This window comes from Homo sapiens, chromosome X (genome assembly GCF_000001405.40).
Source record: "Homo sapiens chromosome X, GRCh38.p14 Primary Assembly".
Lineage (NCBI taxonomy): Eukaryota > Metazoa > Chordata > Mammalia > Primates > Hominidae > Homo > Homo sapiens.
The window spans coordinates 154,949,270-154,973,959 of NC_000023.11; the positions used below are offsets into that span (position 1 = coordinate 154,949,270).

The following is a 24,690-nucleotide window of genomic DNA, read 5'->3' on the forward strand; positions in this document are numbered from 1 at the left end:
GCCGATTATAGCAGCTGAACTTCCATCAATTGCAGGCGACTAACAGCTTCAAATAAGGCAAAAATGCCCAACTGTAATCAATTAAGCTGTCTCTAAACCTCACTTCCAATTTCTATCCATACTATGTTGCTGGCTGCTGTTCTGTATTTGGTTCTGAGGGCTATCTGATTCTAGAATCATGTATAAAAGCCAATTACAATCTTTAAAATACATTTGTTGTATTTTTGCCTTTTGACACTCCACATGGATTAAATAGTTACATGTCTTTTGTGAAATATGTACACACTACTTTTGGGTGCTGTACTAGTGGCTAGGGTTGCCATAACAATATACCACAGACTGGGAGGTGTAAATAACAGGAATGTGTTTTCTCACAGTTTTGAACACTAAAATTCCAAGATCAAGGTATTGGCAGGTTTGGTTTTTACTGACACCTCTCCTTGGCTTGGTCTTTCCTCTGTGAATATGCATCCCTGGTGTCTCTGTGTGTACACATTTCCTCTTCTTTTTTTTTTTCAAATGGAGTCTCGGTCTGTCTGCCAGTCTGGAGTGCAGTGGCGTGATCTCTGCTCACTGCAACCTCCACCTCCTGGGTTCAAGCAATCTTCTGCCTCAGTCTCCCGAGTAGCTGGGACTACAGGAGCTCGCCACCATGTCCAGCTAATTTTTGTATTTTCAGTAGAGATGGGGTTTCACCATGTTGGCCAGGATGGTCTCGATCTCTTGACCTCGTGATCCGCCCGCCTTGGCCTCCCAAAATGCTGGGATTACAGGCGTGAGCCACTGTGCCTGGCCCACATTTCCTCTTCTTATAAGGACACTAGTCATATTGGATTAGGGCCCATTGTAACAACCTCATTTTAACTTAATAAACCCCTTAAAGACCCTATCTCCAAATACAGTCACATTCTGAAATACTAGTGTTAGGGCTTCAGCATATTAATTCTAGGGGACATGATTCAGGACATAACAGGTGTATACTAGGAGTGGATTTCCTGAGTCAATAGGGTATGCCGATGTTTGGCTTTCGATGTTTGGATTTCCTGACCAGAAATTTATGAGAGTTCTCATTACTCTACATCTTTACCAATACTTGGTATGGACAGCCTTTTTAATTTTAGCCATTCTGGTGTATCTCATTGGTGGTTTTGTTTTTTTAATATCATCCTATCCAGTTTATTCCTTAACTTGCATAATGGTTATCTGAAATCACTGGAATGTAAGCTTCCTCAGGCTTAATTACTAGAATGGCTGATTCTTCTCTATCCAATCTTTTTAAATTTATTTTTTAATTGACAGGGAAAAATAGAATATATTATGATGTACATCACAATGTTTATATATGTATATATTGGAATGGGTAATTTATTAACTGTAGTCACCATAGTGTACAATAGATGTCTTTAATTTATTTCTCTTGTCTAACTGGAATTGTGTGGCAAAGTCTTTATCTCTCTGCATTTCTGAAGGAAACATTTTCTAGGTAAAGTTTTCCCAGTACTCGGAATATATCATCCCACCCTCTTCTGACCTGTAAAGTTTCTGCCTTATTGGAATTTCCTTGTATGTGGTTTGCTTCTTTTTTGTTGTTGCTTTCAGGATTCTCTCTTTGTCTTTGATATTTGACAGTTTGATTGTAACGTGTCTTCATATAGTCTTGTTTGAATCTAATCTGACTAGAGATCTTTGAGCTTCTTGTACGTGGATATTTACATCTTTCTCCAGATTTGGAAAGTTTTTGCTATCATTTCTTTAAATACACTTTCTTCCATTTTGTCTCACTCTTCTTCTAGTTACCCATATCAGAAATTTGGTAATCATCTTTGAATCCTCTTAGTCCTTTACCAAACATAGCTAATTATTTACAAAATCATGTGCCTTCTATCTTCTAAACAAATCCTGTACATGTTCCTTCCTCTTCATTCCTACTGCAATTTCCCTATCATTTGTAGGATCCATCTACGAAATAAATCATAAATCCTACAATTTTTTAAAACACAAAATTATAAAACAAACATCTAGGTCATGAAATACAATATTGCTGCTATCCCCACAAAACACATGTGTTTATTCTCAAATGAACTCTTTCTAAGAGGTAGCCACTATCTTGTCTTTTATTATAATCATGTCCTTACTAACCTTTATACTTTTCTTCCTCTGTATCCCTAAACTATATAAGTTAATTTTGCCCATTTTTGAACTTTATGTAAATAATATAATACTGTATATATTCTTTTGACACTTACCATTTTACTAAAAATTGTCTTTGTGATACTTATTCATATTGTTGTGTATAGCTTTATTTTTGTGAATCTTCATTGTCACATGGTATTTCATTGTATGAAAATAGATTATCAATTTTACTGCTAATGGAAATAGGAGTGATTTATGGTTTGGGTCTCTCTCCTCCTGGTCCTTTTTTTTCTTCTTTTCTTATCCCTCTGTCTTAGCATCTTTCTCCCTGGACTCTTCCTCTGAAGATCCTTCCCCTGTGTCTCTTGGTCTCTGCCTTTGTGTCTCTCCCTGTGCTTTCTCAGACTCTTTTTCTCAATTCCAATCTCTTCTTTCTCAATTCCAGACTCTTATCTCCACCAAAAGCTATATTAGAAATCCCAGAGGAAAAAAAATATATATCATCTTCAGTGAAATTGTTTTCTGGCTCTGCTTATGTCACTATATCTCTCTAGTTTTCATCACCGTCTCCAAGAAAATGAGACAGTTTAACTGTCCAGATACTGTGGCAAGTGCACATCCTACTTGGAAAAAGATGTGGTGGGAAAGGGAGAAATTATGAATAGAAAAAAATAGAAGAACAAATATCTAGTAAATAGCACAATAAGGAAATTATAAAATACAATATTCTATCAGGCTGAAGGAATTCTAAACCAAAGCCATGAGGCTGGAGAGAAGAGGGAGAAAAGAAAAAGCTCTGTGCCACTAGAATTAAATACTAAGCATTAGACTCTTGCACAAATGTGAAATCTGAATCCTTCAGAAGGAAAGCAATACCCTGAACTATGTAAAAAATAAAAATGCAACTCAAAGGACTAAACAACCTTAAAATTTTTAGAATAATGGATAGTAAAGGACTTTAACTCTGGAGAATAATATATCACTATTACTAGAAATTCAAGCTAAATATGAGGCTCAACCCAAAGTTAAAGGGCTAAAGCTTTGAGAGGAGGGGCATAGAATTGTAACATATGCCACATTCTGGTAGGTGAGTATAACTCACATTATAACTTTTCAAGGTTCCCATGCATTTCGTTCAGGATTTTTTTTTTTTTTTTTTGAAACGGAGTCTCACTCTGTCGCCGGCCTGGAGTGCAGTGGCACGATCTTGGCTCACTGCAGTCTCCGCCTTCCGGGTTCACGCCATTCTCCTGCCTCAGCCTCCTGAGTAGCTGGGACTACAGGCGGCCGCCACCATGCCCGGCTAATTTTTTGTATTTTTAGTAGAGACGGGGTTTCACTATGTTAGCCAGGATGGTCTCGATCTCCTGACCTCGTGATCCGCCTGCCTCGGCCTCCCAAAGTGCTGGGATTACAGGCGTGAGCCACTGTGCCCGGCCTGTTCAGGATTTTTAGTTGCATCCAGTGGGACACACAGGGAAATGTGGCTCACTCCATCTTAAACATCTTAATAATCAGAATTTCAAAAGGCATATATTGGTTTTGAAAAGACTATACTACTTATCCACTAATATAGCATGAGAACACTCTTTTATCCACAAGCCCACTAGTAATTATAATTTTGGCAGTTTGATGGGTATAAAGTGCTATCCTATTGTTATTCTATTTCGCATTTCCCTGTAGGATAGTGCAATTGGAATTTTTTACCATATTTTTGACCATTCAGATTTGTGGTATATATAAATATATACACATGTGTATGTATGCAATGGGCTGAATTGTGTTCCCCCATCCCAAATTTATACCTTGCAGTCCTAAACCCCAGTACCTCAGCATGTGACTATACCTGGAGATAGTGTTTTTAAATAGGTAGTTAGTTAAAATAAGGTCATTACGGTGGGCCCTAGCCCAACAATACTGGTATCTTTATTAGAAGAGGAGATTAGGACAAAGATATATAAAGGAGAAACCATGTGAAGACAAGGGAGAAAGCCATCTACAAGACAAGGAGAGAAGCCTCAGAAGAAACCAACGTTGCCCACATCCTGATCTCAAGCCTCCAGAGTTGTAAGACAATAGATATCTGCTGGTTAAGCCACCCAGTCTGCAGTACTTTGTTATGGCAGCACTAGAAGACTAATACAATGTATGTATGTGTTTATATATGATTATATAATTATAGAGAAAATATGTCTTAAAATATGTTACCTGGGCATGGAATGGTTGGTGAAAAGATGTAATATAGAAGGAGATAGGGAATTAAAAGGGAGAGGGAAATCAAGTAAATATTGAAAGGAAAAAATGGTGACTGGATTTTTAAAATATGGGTTATATGATCACGTGTGTTTGAGTAAAAATTATACATTTATAGGTAACATAATTGTTAAATTTATGTGCACATACAATTCATTCATTATCTGGACATCACTTTGATTACATCAATTTTTCTTTATTCACCACCCACTGGACTTAAGTGCTGCTTTACTCACTGTGCATGATGTTGGAGGCTTGGAACTCTGGATCCTCAAGCTGCACTCCAGCTGGATTGGGGAGAAAGCGTTGTATATTCTCTGTGAGGTACCAGCTTCGGTTCTCATCAAATACAGAAAACAGGATGACATTCCTCTTGTCTGACATTATCTGTTAATTACATATATTGAAAGGGGTAAAGAAATGCTACTGATGTTGTCAGGTAGGAGCTAGCAGTCTATGATGAAAGCGATGGCATGCATGTGATATATCTAATCCATTGGTTTAATTCCATTTCCTCTTAGGCATGTACCAGGGCTTGGGAGTTGAGGGTGGGTGCTATGAGCAGTGAGTATATGCTTACAACAAATGTGTCCCCAGGACAAGAGGGTGACTGATCCCACTGAACTTAGTTTTTTCTGCACCCAAGGCCATATGCTAGCTGATTTATTTGGTACAGTCTGTAGCCTTATTCTCTTCATGTTCAGATTAGAAGATTTAACTCCTTAAAGAACCAAGTGGTTATTCAGTGCCTTTCTTAAGTTAGTTAAGTCAAATGAGATACTGACTTTCCTAAACTTCCATCTAGCAACTGACCTTCCACAAGGCTATAAAAAATTAAAAATAGAAAAACAGAAATCAAATAAGAAAGATAAGGTGAACCACAAAAATGTCAAACAACACTAATACCTTAAATTTTCTGTTTAAAACATTCAAATTTTTTTCAGAAGAGCATTTTGTATATGAACCAGATTTATGAATTAGTCGCTTGCTAATTGGATCTGCTAAGATTTCATATGTAAACCTCACTAATATGTATAAACCTCATTTTTTATAACCTATAGCTATATAAACCAAAATACTGAAGAGAGGAGATTGGAGAATATAGAATAATATTTCAGTTCTCTTCCCAAAAGTGACGAAAAAACTATAGTTAGGAAAAATCGGTCAGGACAAGTACTTGGCAAAATTTATACTTCTCTGAGTTTATGTGCCATGTGTTTTATTGGCACCAAAGTTCATATACTTTACTCTCTAAACATATGAAATGTTTTCAGACTAGTAGGGATCTTATGTATCATAAATATAATCAAATGGACATGTAGTCAAGCCTCAGCAATATGGCACTGAGTTATTCTGGGGCCGAGCAATGAGTTTTTGTGAAGAACTAAGCTTTTCTTGTTCAGAGAATTTAGCTTTATTTTTTAAAGCAGTAGAAATGGTCCAAATTCTAGCCATATTTTGAAATATTTTATATCTTTCCCTATGTTTTGCCCAAAAGTATTTATTAAGCTTTTTTTTTTTTTTTTTTTTTTTTTTTTGAGACAGGGTGTCGCTTTGTCATCCAGGCTCACTGCAGCCTCGACCTCCTGGGCTCAAGCTATCTTCCCACCTCAGCCTCCTGAGTAGGTGGGACTACAGGCACACACCACCATGCCCAGCTAATTTTTTTTTTTTTTTTTTTTTTTTGTAGACAAGGTCTTACTATTTTGCCCAGGATGGTCTTGAAATCCTGAGCTCAAGCAATCCTCCTGTCTCGGCCTCCCAAAGTGCTGAGATTACAGGCGTGAGCCACCGCACGTAGCCTATTAAGCTCTTACTAAGTGAGATGCACTGTGCTATATTGTGGGAACTAGCCCCCAATATTTCAACATAGGTTCTTTTCTATTTTACCTAAGTGTCGGCCGGTCTGGGAAATAAAGAGAAAGAGTACAAAAGAGAGAAATTTTACAGCTGGGTCTCCAGGGGTGACATCACATGTCGGCAGGTTCTGTGATGCCCCCAAGCCGCAAAACCAGCAAGTTTTTATTAGTGATTTTCAAAGGGGAGGGAGTGTACGAATAGGGTGTGGGTCACAAAGATCACATGATTCAAAGGCAATAAAATATCACAAGGCAAATAGGGACAGAGCAAGATCACAAGGTAGGGCGAAATTAGAATTACTAATGAGGTTCCATGTCCTGCTGTGCATGCATTGTCATTGATAAACATCTTAACAGGAAACAGGGTTCAAGAGCAGAGAACTGGTCTGACTAGAATTCACCAGGCTGGAATTTCCTAATCCTAGCAAGCCTGGGGGCACTGCAGGAGACCAGGGCATATTTTATCCCTTATCTTCAACTGCATAAGATAAACACTCCCAGAGCGGCCATTTTAGAGGCCTCCCCCTGGGAATGCATTCTTTTCCCAGGGCTGTTCCTTGCTGAGAAAAAGAATTCAGTGATATTTCTCCTATTCGCTTTTGCAAGAAGAGAAATATGACTCTGTTCTGCCTGGCCCTGCAGGCAGTCAGACTTTATGGTTATCTCCCTTGTTCCCTGGAAATCGCTGTTATCCTGTTCTTTTCAAGGTGCCCAGATTTCATATTGTTCAAACACACAAGCTTTACAAACAATTTGTGCAGATAACGCAATCATCACAGGGTCTTGAGGCAACATACATCCTCAGCTTATGAAGATGACAGGATTAAGAGATTAAAGTAAAGACAGGCATAGGAAATTATAAGAGTATTGGTTGGGGAAGTGATAAATGTCCATGAAATCTTCACAATTTATGTTCAGAGATCGCAGTAAAGACAGGCGTAAGAAATTATAAAAGTATTAATTTGGGGAACTAATAAATGTCCACGAAATCTTCACAATTTATGTTCTTCTGCCGTGGCTTCAGCCAGTCCCTCTGTTCGGGGTCCCTGACTTCCTGCAACAGTGCTACATGCTGCAGACATGTTAATTTTGAGGTACTTTTGAGTCACCCATAATGAGATGTCCATGGAAGAAATCTAGGCTGTAGATATAAATCTGTGGGTCATCTGAAAATAGGTGGTAATTGGACATATAAAAATGGGGAGGATCAGCTAGAGAGAGCTAAATCCCAGACTGGGAATGAGTACTATAGGAAAAATCTAGGGCCTACATTCTATGGCCTATCCATCCAGCAGGCACGTTTACTACGTGAAACTCAAATTTAGTAAAAGCTAAGCTCATTTCTTTTACTGACCTATATTGCAAACCATTATATTTTCTTCAGGTTATAAGGGGACATACACTGAGAATGAAACCCAGCACTTGGAAAGGCAAGAACTCACCTGGTTTCCTCTTTGATCTACAGATTCTTTGTAGCAGATGAGGAGAGGGCCAATGAGTCCTGAAGCTAGATCTCTCTCCATATTAACGAAACTAGAGTAATAGCGGGTCAGGCACCGAGGATCTGATTTAGTTGGCCCATCTTCTACAGTCACTGTCCATTTATATTTGAATATTTCTCCTGGCAGAATTGGAAAATCCTTCAAATGTTTTACACCTACCCACAAGCAAAACCATAAATAGCTCAATTAGAGTACAACAAGCCACATATTGATAATCATGTTGTTGTTGCAAGGGTTCTACAAATCTGTATGTACATATGAAGTTTCTGAGCAAGTGGAAGCTAAAGTCGCACCTATTATAATTTTAAGATTCAAACAATTTTTTTAAAAAGTAAAAAGCTGTAATTGATTATCCGGTTGACTGTGAAAGTGTCAGGCCTGAATATATGCCAAAGAGCTTGGCATTGGAGTTTTAAGGTGTAGTCTCTGACTTCTGTGAGGAAAGGGAGCAAGAACTGAGATCTGCCCTCAGGGTAATGGGTCCTCAGGACAAGAACTGATTTTAGTAATTAAGTCTCATTCTGGGTATGTTTCATACCTGAAGATACAATCTAAATCAAAATTTTAATTTTATATTCATTCTAAGCTCTTCCTCACCTCAGTAAGTTATGCCTGACCTATGGTTAGAGGATCCATAGAAAGGGAATGGTGTTGAGGTGAGGAGTTCGAGACCAGCCTGGTCAACATGGTGAAACGCCATCTCTACTAAAAATACAAAAATTAGCCAGGTGTGGTGGCAGGCACTTGTAATCCCAGCTACTTGGGAGGCTGAGGCATGAGAATTGCTTGAACCTGGGAGGCAGAGGTTGAGCCGATATCATGCCAATGCACTCCAGCCTGGGGGATAGAGCGAGACTCTGTCTCCAAAAAAAAAAAAAAAAGAAAGAAAGAAAGAAAGGGAATGGTGTAGTATGTTCTTTCAATATTTCTGAGCCTTCTCTTCCCTTTTCCAGGAGCTGGGGGTGAGGGAGGGTAGGTAATAGAAGAAAGGGCAAACAGACTCTTGTTTAACAGGTCCTGCTGCTCTATCTTTGACAACACTATTTGGTCATCAATGTTCTCTGTGTGGGAGGTGCCCAAATGCTGGTCTTTTCATAGGACACATGTATGGTTTCTTTAGAGTTACCATGGGGACCTCAGCATTACATAGTTCCATGACATGAGAGATGTTTCTTTCAGCTATCCTTCTGCAACTCTCCTCTCCCCATCAGCTCTTCTTACTTCCAGTGATATATCCAAGACTCTATTGGTTCTGCTATCCCCTCAGCCTGCCTAACTGCCTTCTTGGGTAGAATATCTTCAAAAGGGATAAAGCCCAGCTACTTTCAACAGTATTCACTTGTTACAGAATAAACTCATGTCAAACAGCAGGAAGGTAAACTGCTCCACTCTTGCCCTCTCTTCTTGCCCACTATTATGGGCATTACAGCCTTCAAAATTCTCCATGGAAAAGCAGGTTACCAGTAACTATCCACGTATGCCTCCAAATTTCGGGACACACATTCAAAATCTCCCCAGAACTCTGTCACTATGCCATTCTTCCATAAAGAAATGCAAATAAAGAATTCTTATCGGCAATAATGAATATTAGAAAACAGGGGAAGGAATTTTTTTTGAGATGCAGTCTTGCTCTGTTGCCCAGGCTGGAGTGCAGTGGGGTGATCTTGGCTCACTGCAACCTTCACCTCCCAGTTTCAAGCAATTCTCCTGCCTCAGCCTCCTGAGTAGCTGGGATTACAGGCACACGCCACAATGCCCGGCTATTTTTTTTGTATTTTTAGTAGAGATGGGTTTTCACCATGTTGGCCAAGCTGGTCTTGAACTCCTGACCTCAAGTGATCTGCCCGCCTCGGCCTCCCAAAGTGCTGGGATTACAGGCGTGAGCCACCGCACCCAGCGGGAAAATTTTTATAACCAGTCTGTCTGCCCATCATGTGATACTGAAGGATTCAGAAAGTTCACCCTCTATGTACCACATATTTAGAAGTTACTTGAGAATATACTTCCAGAAAAACAAAAGAAGAAATCAAAAAATAGAAATGTACAAGGGAAAAGTAGTTAATGCTATTCACTACAAGAATGTCTTTAAGAAGAAAAAGATTTGGTTCCAGCACTTTGGGAGGCTGAGGCAGGCAGATCGCTTGAGCTCAGGAGTTCGACACCAGTCTGGGCAACAAGTTAACACCCCATTTCTACAAAAAATAAAAATAATAAAAAAAATTAGCTGGGCATGGTAGTGTGCGTCTGTGGTCCCAACTACTCAGGAGGCTGAAGTGGGAGGATAGCCTGAGCCTGGGAGGCAGAGGTTGCAGTGAGCCAAGATCGTGCCACTGTACTCCAGCCTGGGTGACAGAGCGAGACGCTGTCTCAAAAAAAAAATAAAAGATTTGGATAGCAAGCAATACATAGAATGATTAAGAAGCTGAAAGGCCTAAGAAATAGGGTTGAAGAAGCCTACATTTCTTTTCCGAATAAAAGAAAACAAAGTCTTACTTCAGGATACACCTTTGTGTTGGGAACATTCCAAATCCTCTCATCTAGCTATTTGAAAATAGATGTCATTGTTGACTACAGTCACCCTACAGTGCTATAGAACATTAGGACTTATGCCTCCTATCTAGCTGGAATTTTGCATCCATTAACCAACGTCTCCCTATTTCCCCCTCCCCTTCCCCTCTTTAGCCTCTAGTAACCACTATTTTATCTCTACTTCTATGAGATCAACTTTTTTCCTTCCACATATTATTTTATCTTAATAGTAAAATCACTTGAGCTGTAGAAAAGAGAGCAATCATAGCATATTACCCAGTTCTGCAGTTAACATTTATGAAAAGAAACTTGCTAAAATACTAAAATAATACAAATGCTGTTTTTTAATTTTTTAAGCTTTAGAGAAAATATATAGACAAAGCAAGGAAGAGTTATTTCAAATTACAGCACAAAATGTAAATGTTATCAAGTTTAGTTTTGTAAAAGTAAAGGAATGGCTAGCAGCAGTAGAGAAAAGAAAGGTTTGGGGAAAGGAAAAGTGAGGGGTACAGTTTTTAATATCCTTAATTTATGAAGTATGGAGTCAAAAGATATTTTCAATCCATGATTGGAAAATATCTTACTAAAAGTTGATGTTTAGTATATTTTTAAAGTTCTAATGATAGCCAATCCAACTGAAAACACTGATAAAACTGAAACAACTTGAATGGAAAAAAGCACAAAACAAAGTAAGTATATAATGTCTAAAGTTGAAAAACAAAGAGTTAGCAGTATAAGTAACTTTTTAGAGATGTAGAGATAACCACCAAAAATCAAAAACAGAAATTCTTAAAAATGGATGCCTCTAGGGAGGCAGCCCTTTTGTAGTTTTAAGCATACACATCTATTATTTTGATAAATATTCATCCAAAATTAAATAATAGAAAGAATATACATAACATCCAATCTACTAAAAGAAAAAATAAATCTTTAAACAGCAAACAATATAGTAAATAAAAACTGGAGTTGTGAACTATTTAGAAATGAATATGCGAAGAACCCTGAAAATATCAAACTAGATACCAAAAGTGAGAGTGAAACCCTGTTGAGAGAGAGAGAGAGAGAGAGCAAGGAAGAGCAATAACATGGAAGCTGCAGCAAAGAATCCTGAAAATATCAAACTAGTTACCCAAAGTGTGGAATACCACACTAGATACCAAAAGTGTGGAATGTAGCTGAAAACCGTACTCAGAAAAAAAAATTATCTTAAGTGCCAGAAGAACCAGCTTCAAGATTTTAGGGCATTTACAGTAGTTGCAGTGGAACCAATTGCAGTGGAATCTAATTGGCTGTGGAATATTTGAACATCACCGCTAGGTAATAGGAAAAACATGTCAGGCGACTCTTCACGAATTTACATGAAACATCACCTGAGGATTCCTATAATTGATTTTTATAACTTTAGACTGGAGCTTGAGGTCCGGCCAACAGCTGGAGAAAGGACCAACATAATTTTAGTTGTTATTGATGATATTTATCTCATCTGTATCTACAGGTAAAAAAGAGCTATAAATCGAGGGAATATTTACCTTTTGGTAATCTCCTTGAATACAAAGGACGGACATCAGTGATTCCGTGAGGGTAGATGTTATATGGTCTGCTTGCTTGATTCTTAAATATAATCTGAAAGTATAAGCGAGATCTAAGATCAAATCCTAAAACGACTAGGATCAACAAGAAAACTGTGGTCTAACTCCAGATAAATAAAAGTGGCCTCTATCTACATTATAGTAATTTGAGGCTAGATAAAACTCAAAATATTTGGTCTTTTCATGAAATTGTTCCTTGGCATGCATGGAGGATTGGTTCCAGGACCCCTGCAGATACCACAATCTGTGATGCTCAAGTCTCTTACTCAAAATGATGTAGTATTTGCATATAACATATGCACATCCTCTCATGTACTTTAACTCGTCTCTAGATTTCTTACAGTACATAATATAACATAAATGCTATGTAAATAGTTGTTTTACCGTATTGTTTCTTTGTATTATTGTTTATTGTTGTATTATTATCTTTTATTGTTTTGGGGTTGTTTTTTGAATACTTTCAATCAATGGTTGTTTGAATATGAGACTAGAAATCCAGTGATACTGAAAAATAAAAATAAAATCTTAAGCATCCCCAAACGACTGAAGAGACCCCTTTCTCGGCCAAGGAGACCCCAGAGATGGCTTAAAAACTGAGTTTCTGACCATGATGGGATGGGAGATCGGGCATGCCTTGTTACATTCCCTCCCTCCCTAATCTGCCGTTAGACTTTCTTTCTTAAGGGTTAAACATAAACCAGTCCTTTCTAAAGACGTGGTGGATTCCCCTCCCTTTGTGCAGTTTTATCATAACAACCGAGAAGCATTGCTTCCTGATGAGAGACCACTGACCATGGACTGGCTCTGGCCAGTTTACAGAGGCTGCCTCTGTGTCCTCTGTTTCATCTTTTGACATATACAGCCTAATTTTCATGCATCTAAATGTTAAGTCTCCACCCCAAAGTGAACATGGAATGTATGTAACATGTGTGGTTGCAGGTGCCCCATCATAAATATTCACAGCTCCTCCTGGAACCTGTTAAATATGTATACTTAGCCAACTCATTCAGCATAAATTCTTATCTCATCCTTCCTTCTTCAAAGTGCTTGCTTCCATTTGCTGCCAGAGGCTACACTTCCCAGCCTGCAACCCTTTCCACTCCAAATTTACAAACTTAGGATTCTTCAGTTGACAATGTAGAGGGCTGACAGTACTTAGGTTTCTCTCTAAAGGCCCCTTTCCACTTCTTTAAAAATTGTTTCAATTGCTTCAGGAAGTATTCTCTGCACCTTCTCACACTAATTGAAATTTAGATGCCTGGTGAGGACACTGCTTCCTCTCAGCCTTTATTACTATTTGGGCATTAAATTCACTGATAATAGAGAAAGAGACAGTGTTTCAGGAGATAAAATCTTCAGTGCATGAGCAGGCATGACCAAGAGGACAGTTGATTACAGTATTAAGCAAGGGTAGCAGGTGGTATTGCCTGATTGCACCAGCTTTAAAAGAAAACAAAGGCCTAGGTGCAGTGGCTCATGCCAGCACTTTGGGAGGCTGAGGCAGGAGGATCGTTTGAGCCCAGGACTTCAAGACCAGCCTGGGTAACACAGTGAGACCTCATCTCTACAAAAAATAAAAAAATTAGCTAGGCGTGGTGGTGCATGCCTATAGTACCAGCTACTTGGGAGGCTGAGGTGGGAGGATCACTTCAGCCCAGGAAGTTGAGGCTGCAGTAGTGAGCTGTGATCACACCACAGCACTCCAGCCTGGGTGACAGAATGAGACCCTATCTCAAGAGAGAGAGAGAGAGACAGAGACGAGAGAGAGAGAGAGAGAGAGAGAGAGAATGGAAGAGCAATAACATGGAAGCTGCAGCGAAGAACCCTGAAAATATCAATCCCACCTCCAGATCTGAGGTGTGTGATATGAGGATAAAAATGCAACTTCCACTTCTGCTCTTGTCTTAAAACCCAGTCATTCTTCCTATCCATGAGCATGGAATGTTCTTCCATTTGTTTGTGTCCTCTTTTATTTCGTTGAGCAGTGGTTTGTAGGTCTCCTTGAAGAGGTCCTTCATATCCCTTGTAAGTTGGATTCCTAGGTATTTTATTCTCTTTGAAGCAATTGTGAATGGGAGTTCACTCATGATTTGGCTCTCTGTCTGTTATTGGTGTATAAGAATGTTTGTGATTTTTGCACATTGATTTTGTATCCTGAGACTTTGCTGAAGTTGCTTATCAGCTTAAGGAGATTTTGGGCTGAGACAATGGTGTTTTCTAGATATACAATCATGTCATCTGCAAACGGGGACATTTTTTATGGCTGCATAGTATTCCATGGTGTATATGTGCCACATTTTCTTAATCAGTCTATCATTGTTGGATATTTGGGTTGGTTCCAAGTCTTTGCTATTGTGAGTAGTGCCGCAATAAACATACGTGTGCATGTGTCTTTATAGCAGCATGATTTATATTCCTTTGGGTATATACCTAGTAATGGGATGGCTGGGTCAAATGGTTTTTCTTTTGTTGCTTGTTGGTTTTGGTGTCCTATCCAATAAACTATTGTCTAATTCAAGATCACAAAGATTTATCCTGTTGTTTTCTTATAATTTTGTAGTTTTAGCTCTTACATTTTATCTTTGATCCATTTTGAGGTAATGTTTAAGTGTAGGATTCAGCATGGTATCCAGAGTATAACCTGAATAAATCAAAGAATGGGGTAGATCTATATATGTTGACATGAAATGATATCCAAAATATATTGTTACTTTTTTTTTTTTTGAGACAGAGTCTCACTCTGTTGCCCAGGGTGGAGTGCAGTGGTGCGATCTCAGCTCACTGCAACCTCCGCCTCCCAGATTCGAGCGATTCTCCTGCCTCAGCCTCCAGAGTAGCTGGGACTACAGGCATGTGCCACCATGCCTGGCTAATTCAAAATATATTGTTACCTTTTAAAAATCAAGGTACAGACCAATTTACACTGCTCTTGTTTTTGTGTGAAATGCACACACACACACACATACACACACACATTTGTACATGTATGCACTACTTCTGGAGGGGAGTATACAAACCCACAGCAATGACTGTCTGTCAGACTATGGGGTTGGAAGTCCAAGAGGGAGGAAAATTTACATTTTATTGCATGCTCTTGTTTATCTATTTTTAAATTAGCCAGTAAAAGTAACTCAAAATACACAAAAAGTACCCTATAAATATGTAAAATTATTGTGTCATTATGCATTTTAAAAATTAATGAATAAAAAATAAAATTATACAATCTTCAAAAAATGAAAAATAGAAAAAATACGTACACAAAATTTATGAAGAAAAATTGTACAATAATAGCTAATAAAAATTTTGAAGAAGTACAATGAAAGAAGATGTCATACAGATATCAAACATATCACAAAGTTGAAGTCATTAAAACAGGGTGGTAACAGATTAGTTAAGGAGAATTAAAAATCCCAGATTTTAGCAATTTAGTATATGATAAAGAAGACATTTTCAAATTAATGAAAAAAGGATTGGTTGTGTCAGCTGCCATTTGGGAAAATTTCTATTTGAATTATGCACTACATTCAAAAGTAACTTCCAGGGCAATTAGATTGCTCACTGTAAAAATAAAGCTATACAAGTAAGAGAATAAAATATAGACTATTTTTGTAGTGTCTTGGGGGTGGCAAAGACATTCTCAGGCAGAAAACATAAGTGAAAAAGATCCAGAGACATATAAATGAAAAGATTGATAAAAGATAGGAGGTTTTGACTATATAAAGATGAAAAATCTTTGAAGGACAAAAAATATCATAAAGGAGTTAAAGTACAAGTGACAATGTGAGGAAAACATTTGAAAGATAAATAACAATGTGTCAATATCCATAATCTATAAAGACCTTTTACAAATACATAAGCAAAAGATGACTGACCAAATAGAAAACTGGACAAAATTTACAAGCAGGCAATTCACAGAGGGAGTTATACAAATAGCCAACAAACATGAAACAATATACAATTTGACCACTAACCAGGGAAATGCAAATGAAGACAACATATAAACATTTTGCTCATCAAATTGGAAAATTTTCTGAAGGTTTATAATATATGTTGTTGGCAATGGTGTGGGGAAAAGGGCAGTCATATACTTATGGTAGGGGATATAAATTGGTACAAAATTGCTGAAAGTCAGTTTGGCAGTATCTAACAAAACTCCATATCTAAAAACCAGTGTTCTTCATGACATTCTTCAGCGGCTGAATTTATGGAACCAACGACCAATCTTCAAATTTCTTGTGAAGAAAATAAACCCTTATTTATTTAAACCACTGTCCATTGAGTATTCTGTTACTTACACCATACTCATTCTTAATATCCTAGATCAGGAGCAAGCAAGCATTTTTTGGAAAAGGCTGGATAGTAAGTACTCTAAAATTTGTGAGCCCTATCTAGCCTCTGTCACATATTCTCTTGCTCCTCCGCCTTCTCCTCCCCTTCCTCCCATCCTCCTTTCTTTTCTTTGCAATATTTTAAAAATGTAAAATCTCATCTAAGCTCATGGACTGTTCAAAAGCAGGCCACAAGCCAAATTTGGTTCACAGGCCATAGTCTGCTGACTCCTATATGACATAATTAATGGAGAAAGATCTGGAAGGATATGTATCAAAGTCTAAGCAGTATTTCAAAGGAGTGTCGAGTTTAGTGGGTGACATTAAATTTTTATTCTATATACTCAAACTTTAAATACATACAATCAGCTATTATTTGTGTAACATTTATAGCTTTTAAAAGATCATGTCCATTGGAGACAAGGCTGAATTATGAGGTATTTTAGAAACTCAAAACTCTCCAGACTTTTTCTTCTTACCTGACCTTAAATCTTTTCTTCAACTTACCAACAGTGTGTCTCCAACTTCCCCATAAAGTAAAGGTCCCAAGATTCCTGATTCATGCTGAATAGCTTCACGAGTCTTAAAGGTTTCATCTGTGTATGCCATAAATCGGACTTTTTTGTACTTCCTACCAATCCGCTGAGGGCCATTGTTCAAATATTGACTTTTATAACTTCTGTATAAGAGAAAAAAAGATGAGAGGTTGGGAAGAAAAATTCTAGGTAGGCTCAAATCCAACTCTAAAACAGCTTATATGATTCAATCAAGGCAAGGAGTGAGAAAAATACAAGCTTCTCTGATGCTCAGCTATGTTAGTTTCCAAATGTTAATACCCTTGCCATTTGATTCCATACCTGTACCTAACCTTAAACATGGCTTCAGGATTTGTTGGTTTGAATAACTGGTAAGAACTTTTTGAGTATGGGGAAGAGAGAGTACCAATAGTCAAAAAGTGCTTACCTGTCATCGGGGGCGAGGACTAAGGGAGCATAGTCCCAGTCCTCCTCTTCAGCAGCAATGTAATGTACCCAAGTTTTAGGATGCTTCTTGGCAACTGAGCGAATTTGGATAAAGGAAGGAGAGTTGTCATCATCAAACCTGACCACATCCATTTCAGAATCAGTAAGATCATCATCATAGTCTTCCGCTTCTTCATTATTTTTCATTCGTAGTTGGGGTTCCTCTGGACAGCTGTCTACTTTGACATAAGCTTCCATGCCATCTGGAGTCAGACAAACCAAACAATGTCAGAGTGTCTTGCTATATTAGGCTGTTCTATACCAGAGACTAGGTAATTTATAAAGAAAAGAGATTGAATTGGCTCATGTTTCTGCAGGCTATATGGGAAGCATGGTGCTGGCATCTGCTTGGCTTCAGGGAGGTCTCAGGAAGCTTACAATCATGGGGGTAGGTGAAGGGGGAGGAGACATGTCACATGGTGAAAGCAGGAGCAAGACAGAGAGTGCAAGTTGCCACACACTTCTGAATGACCAAATATCATGAAGACAGCATCAAGCCATGAGGGATTCACCCCCATGATCCAAACATCTGCCACCAGACCCCACCTCCAGCATTGGAAATTACAATTCAACATGAGATTTCAGTGAAGATAAATATCCAAACCATATCACTTGCCTTAACTTTTATGACTTCTTTCTCTCTTATTAGGCCTTCCAGGCTCTCCCCTAAGTACCCCCCCTTTCCACATCACTATCCCTTCTTGCCACAAATCATTGATTTAATAACAGCTTATTGGGAAAAATGTTAGTGTAGATATAAACTTTAAGACATGTTCCAAGTTCATAAAACCATGACAAGATACAACTTAAAATCAAGGAGATATATATTTTAAGAGCATGTCTGCCTGTGACTAGTTGTAAACCCTATGGCAAATGTATTCAACATTCTCAGTCTCATCTTCATGCTTTGTAAAATGGATAATAATAATTCCTGCCCTATTTATACCACAGGGCAATTTTGAAGATCAAATACTTCTAAGAAGGGAGACCTGTTTACTTGATTATGAGGAACAGGGAAGGTTTTAGGAGCAGCAAACAACTAGTCTGGGGTTCATGTAGCCTTAAACATAACTCAGTCTGCATCGAAAAACAAAGTGTTTGGTCTGAGGTTCAATAAGATAAAGCATTTTTTTCTGAAAAATAAAGATTAAAATTAGTGGATAGAATCTGTGAAAAGGAGAAAAACAAAACAAAAAATAAACTGAATCGGGGTCCAACTGGACAATGATTGATTGACAATGATCATATACAAGTAAATGACCTATTCCTCTGTGCCTGCAAGAATGTTGTTTGTGCATCAACTTCCTGTTACTCATTCAGTATGACACATTTTGTCCACTAAGGTCTTGTCAAAATTCCATAAATATTATGTGACACATGGGGAAGAGAGATTTCTATTCTTAATCACTACAGAAGACAATAAACAAGGTCACTAATAGAACATAAGGAGGAAAATGGTGGATGCATGGCAAGATCAATTCTCTTTTCTAAGTCAACCAAGGAACCTGAGGAGAAGGTTAATATGAGAGTAATAGGAAGAAAGAAATGCTATTAAATATAAAAGATTAGGCCTCTCCGACATTTTTCTCCAATAACTCTTGCTATGGTTTGAATGTCTGTCCCCTCCGAAACTCATATTGAAATTTAATTATCATCGTGATGGTATTGAGAGGTGAACATATAAAAGGTGTTTAGGTCATAAGCGTTCCACCCTCATGAATGGACTAATGCAGTTATCTGGGGAAAGTGTTCATGGGAGTGGATTTGTTATCACAGGAGTGAGCTCACCCTCCTCTTGCTCTCTCTCACCCTTTCTTTGCCCTTTTGTCATATAATGCCTTCCACCATGTTAAGACGCAGAAAAAGGCAACTTGATATTGGACCTCCCAGCCCCCAGAAATGTGAGCCAATAAATTTCTGTCCATTATAAATTACCCATTCTGTGGTATACTGTTATTGCAGCACAAACTGACTAAGAGCCTTCAATGGCCACGAGAGGGGTAGAGAAAGAGGGTTATTAGGTTGATCCAAGATTAAGAGTTAGCAGAATAAATACAAAAGTAAGGAAAATTGGGGTGAAATGATGATGCAATCTGAATTTGCACAACTAGCAGTTACAAATAAAGTTACATTAACAATAATTTAAAACTGTAGTTACCATCGTCCTAATTTGCTTACACAGAACCTTTGACCCTTTCCAAAGTTCCCACCAAATAGTCCTTTCAATCCCATGTTACTTCTAAAATTCACTAGCTCCTGACCTGCCCTCAGTTTCACAGGTGTCTCTCATCTACTGCCAGGTATCTACAGAGTGCCTCTGGCTGTCTGGTGTCTGAAGTCAAGCTCTACAATAGCCTGTCATATTTGCTATTTACTGCTCTGGGCATTACTAATGATATAGTGGAGCCCTTACAGTTGCAATCTGGACAATGCCTTTTTTTCCCATTTCCCTAGATTTCTCCAAAAAAAAAAAAAATCTCTTCAGCTACAACTTGCAGTTCCTCTCTCCATAATATTGGAGCGTAATTAATGGGATAAGGCTGAGAAACCAAGGGCATACTATTCTCCTCATTTTCCCACCTCAATCATCCATAAGCCATCTTTTCTCCATCACAGACATTTAACTAAAAATCCATGAGTCCTACTAATACTCAAGCCCTTTTATAGTCAAGGTAAAAACTTTACACTGGAAGCTGGAAACTAGGGGATCTTGGCTGAGGTCTAATACAGTAACTCTATAATGTCCCCTTCAGCAACACACTATATTCCTGTACATTGTCCAGTAAATTTTATTAAAAGTAGGACTGGATATTTATAATATTCATTTTAAAGATCCAAGATATTACCATGTTGGTGGGAAGAGATATGACAAAACAGTAGAAACTGTCCAAGGTCCATCAAGAGTGTTTGAGCAGTAAGGAAAGTTATTGGCGAGATTTCCAAGGACGCCTGGCGATGGTTCCTCACAAGAAATGTGTGACCTTCGAGGAATATTGAGTGCACTTCAGGAGTGGTGCCCATTCCAATCACATGCCAATAGACTGATTTCCTGTGGCATCCAATCAGACCTGTAAAGTAGGAATAAGACACCTATGGCTATGAAGTAGAGAATCTGAAATGGAAAACACTTGCTAGGACAGAATGGACAAATTGACTTTAGACACTTTATTGCTACCTTGACTTGTAAACAAATTTATCAAGAACATTGGGCTACTATCAAACCAACAGCTCTTGCCAAGGTCACCAATCACCATCATGCTGCTAAATCCAATGGACATTTTTCAGTCTTTATTTGCACCTGTTGACCATTCATTCGTTTTTAAAACTCTCTCTTCCCTTGGCCTCTGTGCCAACATCTCTGTGGGTTTTTTTCTCCTACTTCTCAGACTGCTCCTTCTTCTGTCTCCCCTGCTGACCTCTTCTGGAACTCCAGGCTCATACAGCCAATCACTTTCTCAACATCTCCACCTAGATATCTCAAAAAACCCACATGTTCAAAACCAAATTTACAATTTTCATCACTTCATTCTCTTCCAGAGTTTTTTATAACAGTGAATGGCAGCATCCTGCATTTGAATATGCAAGTGAGAGTTATCCTTGTTACCATTCTCATCTCCCATATGCAGTTTGACACTGACCAGGGCAATATAATCAATAATAGCTAATATGTATTGAGCACTTGTTTTATGTCAAGCACTGTCCAAAGTATTTTACAAGTTTTAATTCATTCATTCCTCATAACAACCCTATGAATGTAGAAACCATTATCATCCATGTCTTGCAGGAGAGGAAACGGATGCCCAGAGAGGTTAATTAATTTGCTCAGTATTTGAACCCAAGTAGTCATGTGTTCAGATCCCACACTGGTAACAACAAGGGCACAGCTGCCTCCTATTTTGGCTCTAAAAGCTTTCAAATGTATCTAGTTTTTCACTGTTACTACTACCACTATCTTAATCCAAGTTACCATTATCTCGTCTGAGCTACTGATAAACTTTTTTTACAGGTCTCCCTACAGTTGGTCATATTCTCCCCTCTAAGACTTTTACCCACAAAGAAACTGGTGTACTATTTCTGCATTCCAGATCTGATTGTAGTATCCGCCAGCCTAAAACCCACTGGAGGCTGTCATTCCACATAGAATAAAGTCCAGACTCTCTACTAAGGACTAGAAGGCCCCAATAGGTTTGATTCCTAATACCTCTAACAGCTTCATCTCACATTGCCTCATTTTCCCAGTTTCAAAGCTAAGTTCAAGGGGTACTTGCTTAGGGAAGCCTTCTCTGATTCCCCAGTCTAGGTCAGATTCCTGTATTATAGGCTTACATAGAATTATGTAATTTTCCTTCAGAGTAATGCTCAGTTTGTAATTTTGCATGTATTATTATGCTTATTTGACTACAATCTGTCCCTCCACTATAAGGTATGTGAGAACAGGAACTTGCATGTTGTCAAAATTAATTTCCTTTTTAATTATAAAATTATGCATGTTTATTATCAAATTATTGAAAAATACGGAAAAGAACTAAGGAGAAAACATCCCCCTCATACTTCATTATTCTCTTGGGTTGCTGAATCTCCCAAATTCCTCTTTTATGTAGTTTCTGGTTTTACTATAGTACACATTCAGTGACTATTAAGGCCCTCTATATATGAAAATGTCTTTTTTCTTCCCCCAAAATTGATTCATAGTTTGACTAAAAATTCTAGGTTCCAAATAATTTTTCCCTTAGATCTTTTACAATATTGCTTAATTATATCGCCAGTCTAATTCCCATTCTTTTGTATGCGTCCTGTTCCTCTCAGAAGAAGCTTTAAGTATCTTCTCTCTGTGCTCTGAAATGCCACAATGATAATTTTGTGTGTGGGTCTTTTTATTTATCCTAATGGGCAATTTTATTTTTTTAACTGTATTACTTTTTATTGACACATAAATAATTCTACAAATTTATGGGTACAATGTGATGTTTCAATACATGTATACATTGTGTAATTATTCAAATCAGGGTAATTATCATATCCATCACCTTAAATGTTTGTCATTTCTTTGTTGTGAGACCATTCAAAATCCTCTCTTCTATTTGAAATATACAATATATTATTGTTGGCTATTGTCACCCTACTGTGCAATAGAGTACCAGAACTTATTCCTTCTATCTACCTGTAACATTGTACCCATTGACCAATCTCTCCCCATCTCCCACTTCCCCCTTATCTTCCTAGAATCACTAATCTCAACTACTATGAGATCAAATTTTAAAGATTGTACATAGGACTGAGATCATGGAGTATTTGTCTTTCTCTGCCTGGCTTATTTCACTTAACATAATGTCCTCCAGGCTCATCCACGTTGTTGAAAATGACAGGATTTCATCTTTTTTAAATGGATGAATAGTATTCCATTGTGTATCTATATCACAGTTTCTTTATCCATTCATCCATTGATGGGCATTTAAGTTGATTTTATATCTTGACTATTGTGAATAATGCTGTCATAAACATGGGGATGCAGATGTTTCTTCAACATGCTGATTTCATTTCTTTTTGGTATATACCCAGTAGTGGGATTGCTAGAAAATATGATAGATCTATTTTTAATTTTTGAGGCATCTCTATACCATTATCTCTAATGGCTTAACTAATTTATATTCCCACCAACAGTGTATAAGGGTTTCTTTGTCTCCACATCCTTGCTAGCACTTGTTATTTTGTCTTTTTTATAATAGTCATTCTAACAGGGGTAAGTGATATCTCATTGTAGTTTTGATTTTAATTTTCCTGATGGTTAGTGATGTTGAGCATTTTTCATATACCTGTTGGCCATTTGTAGGTCTCTTTTGGAGAAATGTCTATTCAGGTCTTTTGTTCATTTTTAATAGGATTATTTGGACTTTTGCTATTGAGTTGTTTGAGTTCCTTATATATTCTAGATATCAATCCCTTGTCAGATGTATAATCTGCAAATATTTTCTCCCATTCTATAGGTTGTCTCTTCACTCTGTTGATTGTTTCCTTTGCTGTGCAGAAGCTTTCTAGTTTGATGTAATCCAATTTCTTTATTTTTGCTTTTGTTACTCATGATTTTGAGGTCTTGTCTAACAAATTCTTGCCCAAATTGATGTCATGAAATGCTTACACTATGTTTTCTTCTAATAATTTCAGAGTTTCAGGTCTTAAATTTAATTCCTTAATCTATTGTTCTTTTCTTTTCTTTCTGTCTTTCTTTTTTTTTTTTTTTTTTTTTTTTTTGAGACAGAGTCTCACTCTGTTGCCCAGGCTGGAGTGCAATAGCACGATCTAGGCTCACTGCAGCCTCCACCTCTGGGGTTCAAGTGATTCTCCTGCCTCAGCCTCCCAAGTTGCTGGGACTACAGGTGTGCCACCACACCTGGCTAATTTTGTATTTTTAGTAAAGACGGGGTTTCACCATGTTGGCCAGGCCGGTCTCAAACTCCTGACCCCAAGTGATCTGCCTGCCTTGGCCTCCCAAAGTGCTGGGATTACAGGCATGAGCCACTGTGCCTGGCCTATTTGACTTTCATACGTGGTGAGAGATAGGGGGTCTAGGTTCATTCTTTTGCATATGGATATCCAGTTTTCCCAGCACCATTTATTGAAAAGACTGTTCTTTACCCATCATGTATTCTTGCCAACTTCGTAGAAAATCAGTTGGCTTTAAATGTTTGGGTGTATTTCTGGGCTCTCTATTTTGTTCTATTGGTCTATATGTCTGTTTTTATGTCAACACAATGCTGTTTTGGTTACTATAACTTTGTAGTATAATTTGAAATCAGGTAGTGTGATGCCTCCAGGTTTATTCTTTTTGCTCAAGACTTCTTTGGCTCTTTGGGATTTTTTGTGGTTCCACACAAATCTTAGGATTGTTTTTCTATTTCTGTGAAGAATGACATTGGAATTTTGATAGGAATTGCATTGAATCTGTAGATTGCTTTGGCTTTAATAATATTAATTCTTCAATCCATGAACATGAAATATCTTTCCATTTATTTGTGTCTTATTCAATTTCTTTCATCAATATTTTATAGTTTTCATTATAGAGATCTTTCACTTCCTTGGTTAATTTATTTCTGGACATTTTTTGTAGCTATTGTAAACGTGATTGCTTTCTTGATTGCTTTTTCAGATTGTTCACTGTTGGCATATAGACATGCTATCAATTATTGTATGTTGATTTTGTAGACTACAAGTTTACTACATTCATTTACTAGCTCTAACAGTTTTTTGGTGTAGTTTTGGCAGTTTTCTATATATAAGATCATGTCTTCTGCAAACAGGGACAATTTGTTTTGTTTGTTTTTGTTTTTGTTTCGAGACAGTGTTTCACTCTGTTGCCCAGGCTGCAGTGCAGTGGTGCGATCTTGGCTCACCACAAGCTCCGCCTCTGGGGTTCTAGTGATTCTCCTGCTTCAGCCTCTCGAGTAGCTGGGACTACAGGAGCGCACCACCATGTCTGG

At 37.9% G+C, this 24,690-nt stretch overlaps 1 protein-coding gene across 1 annotated transcript in view, besides 1 other annotated feature; it reads right to left on the reverse strand.

The window, feature by feature from the left end:
• The window catches only part of F8 (coagulation factor VIII), a 186,932-nt gene that overhangs the window by 113,478 nt on the left and 48,764 nt on the right, over positions 1 to 24,690 (reverse strand). Inside the window, exons 7-12 of the mRNA NM_000132.4 lie at positions 20,062 to 20,283; positions 17,157 to 17,418; positions 16,701 to 16,872; positions 11,806 to 11,899; positions 7,688 to 7,902; positions 4,623 to 4,773 (exon numbers count right to left, since the gene is read on the reverse strand). Coding sequence (NP_000123.1) covers positions 4,623 to 4,773; positions 7,688 to 7,902; positions 11,806 to 11,899; positions 16,701 to 16,872; positions 17,157 to 17,418; positions 20,062 to 20,283 — 1,116 coding nt within the window. The remainder of the gene's footprint in view (positions 1 to 4,622; positions 4,774 to 7,687; positions 7,903 to 11,805; positions 11,900 to 16,700; positions 16,873 to 17,156; positions 17,419 to 20,061; positions 20,284 to 24,690) is intronic.
• Positions 17,993 to 19,192: an enhancer, noted in NCBI's record as "P300/CBP strongly-dependent group 1 enhancer chrX:154195537-154196736 (GRCh37/hg19 assembly coordinates)". NCBI's record gives its function as "activates an origin of replication core promoter dependent on BRD2, BRD4, P300/CBP, MED14 and CDK7 cofactors, with strong dependence on P300/CBP, by STARR-seq in HCT116 cells {active_cell/tissue: HCT116}" and the evidence as "EXISTENCE:reporter gene assay evidence [ECO:0000049][PMID:35650434]".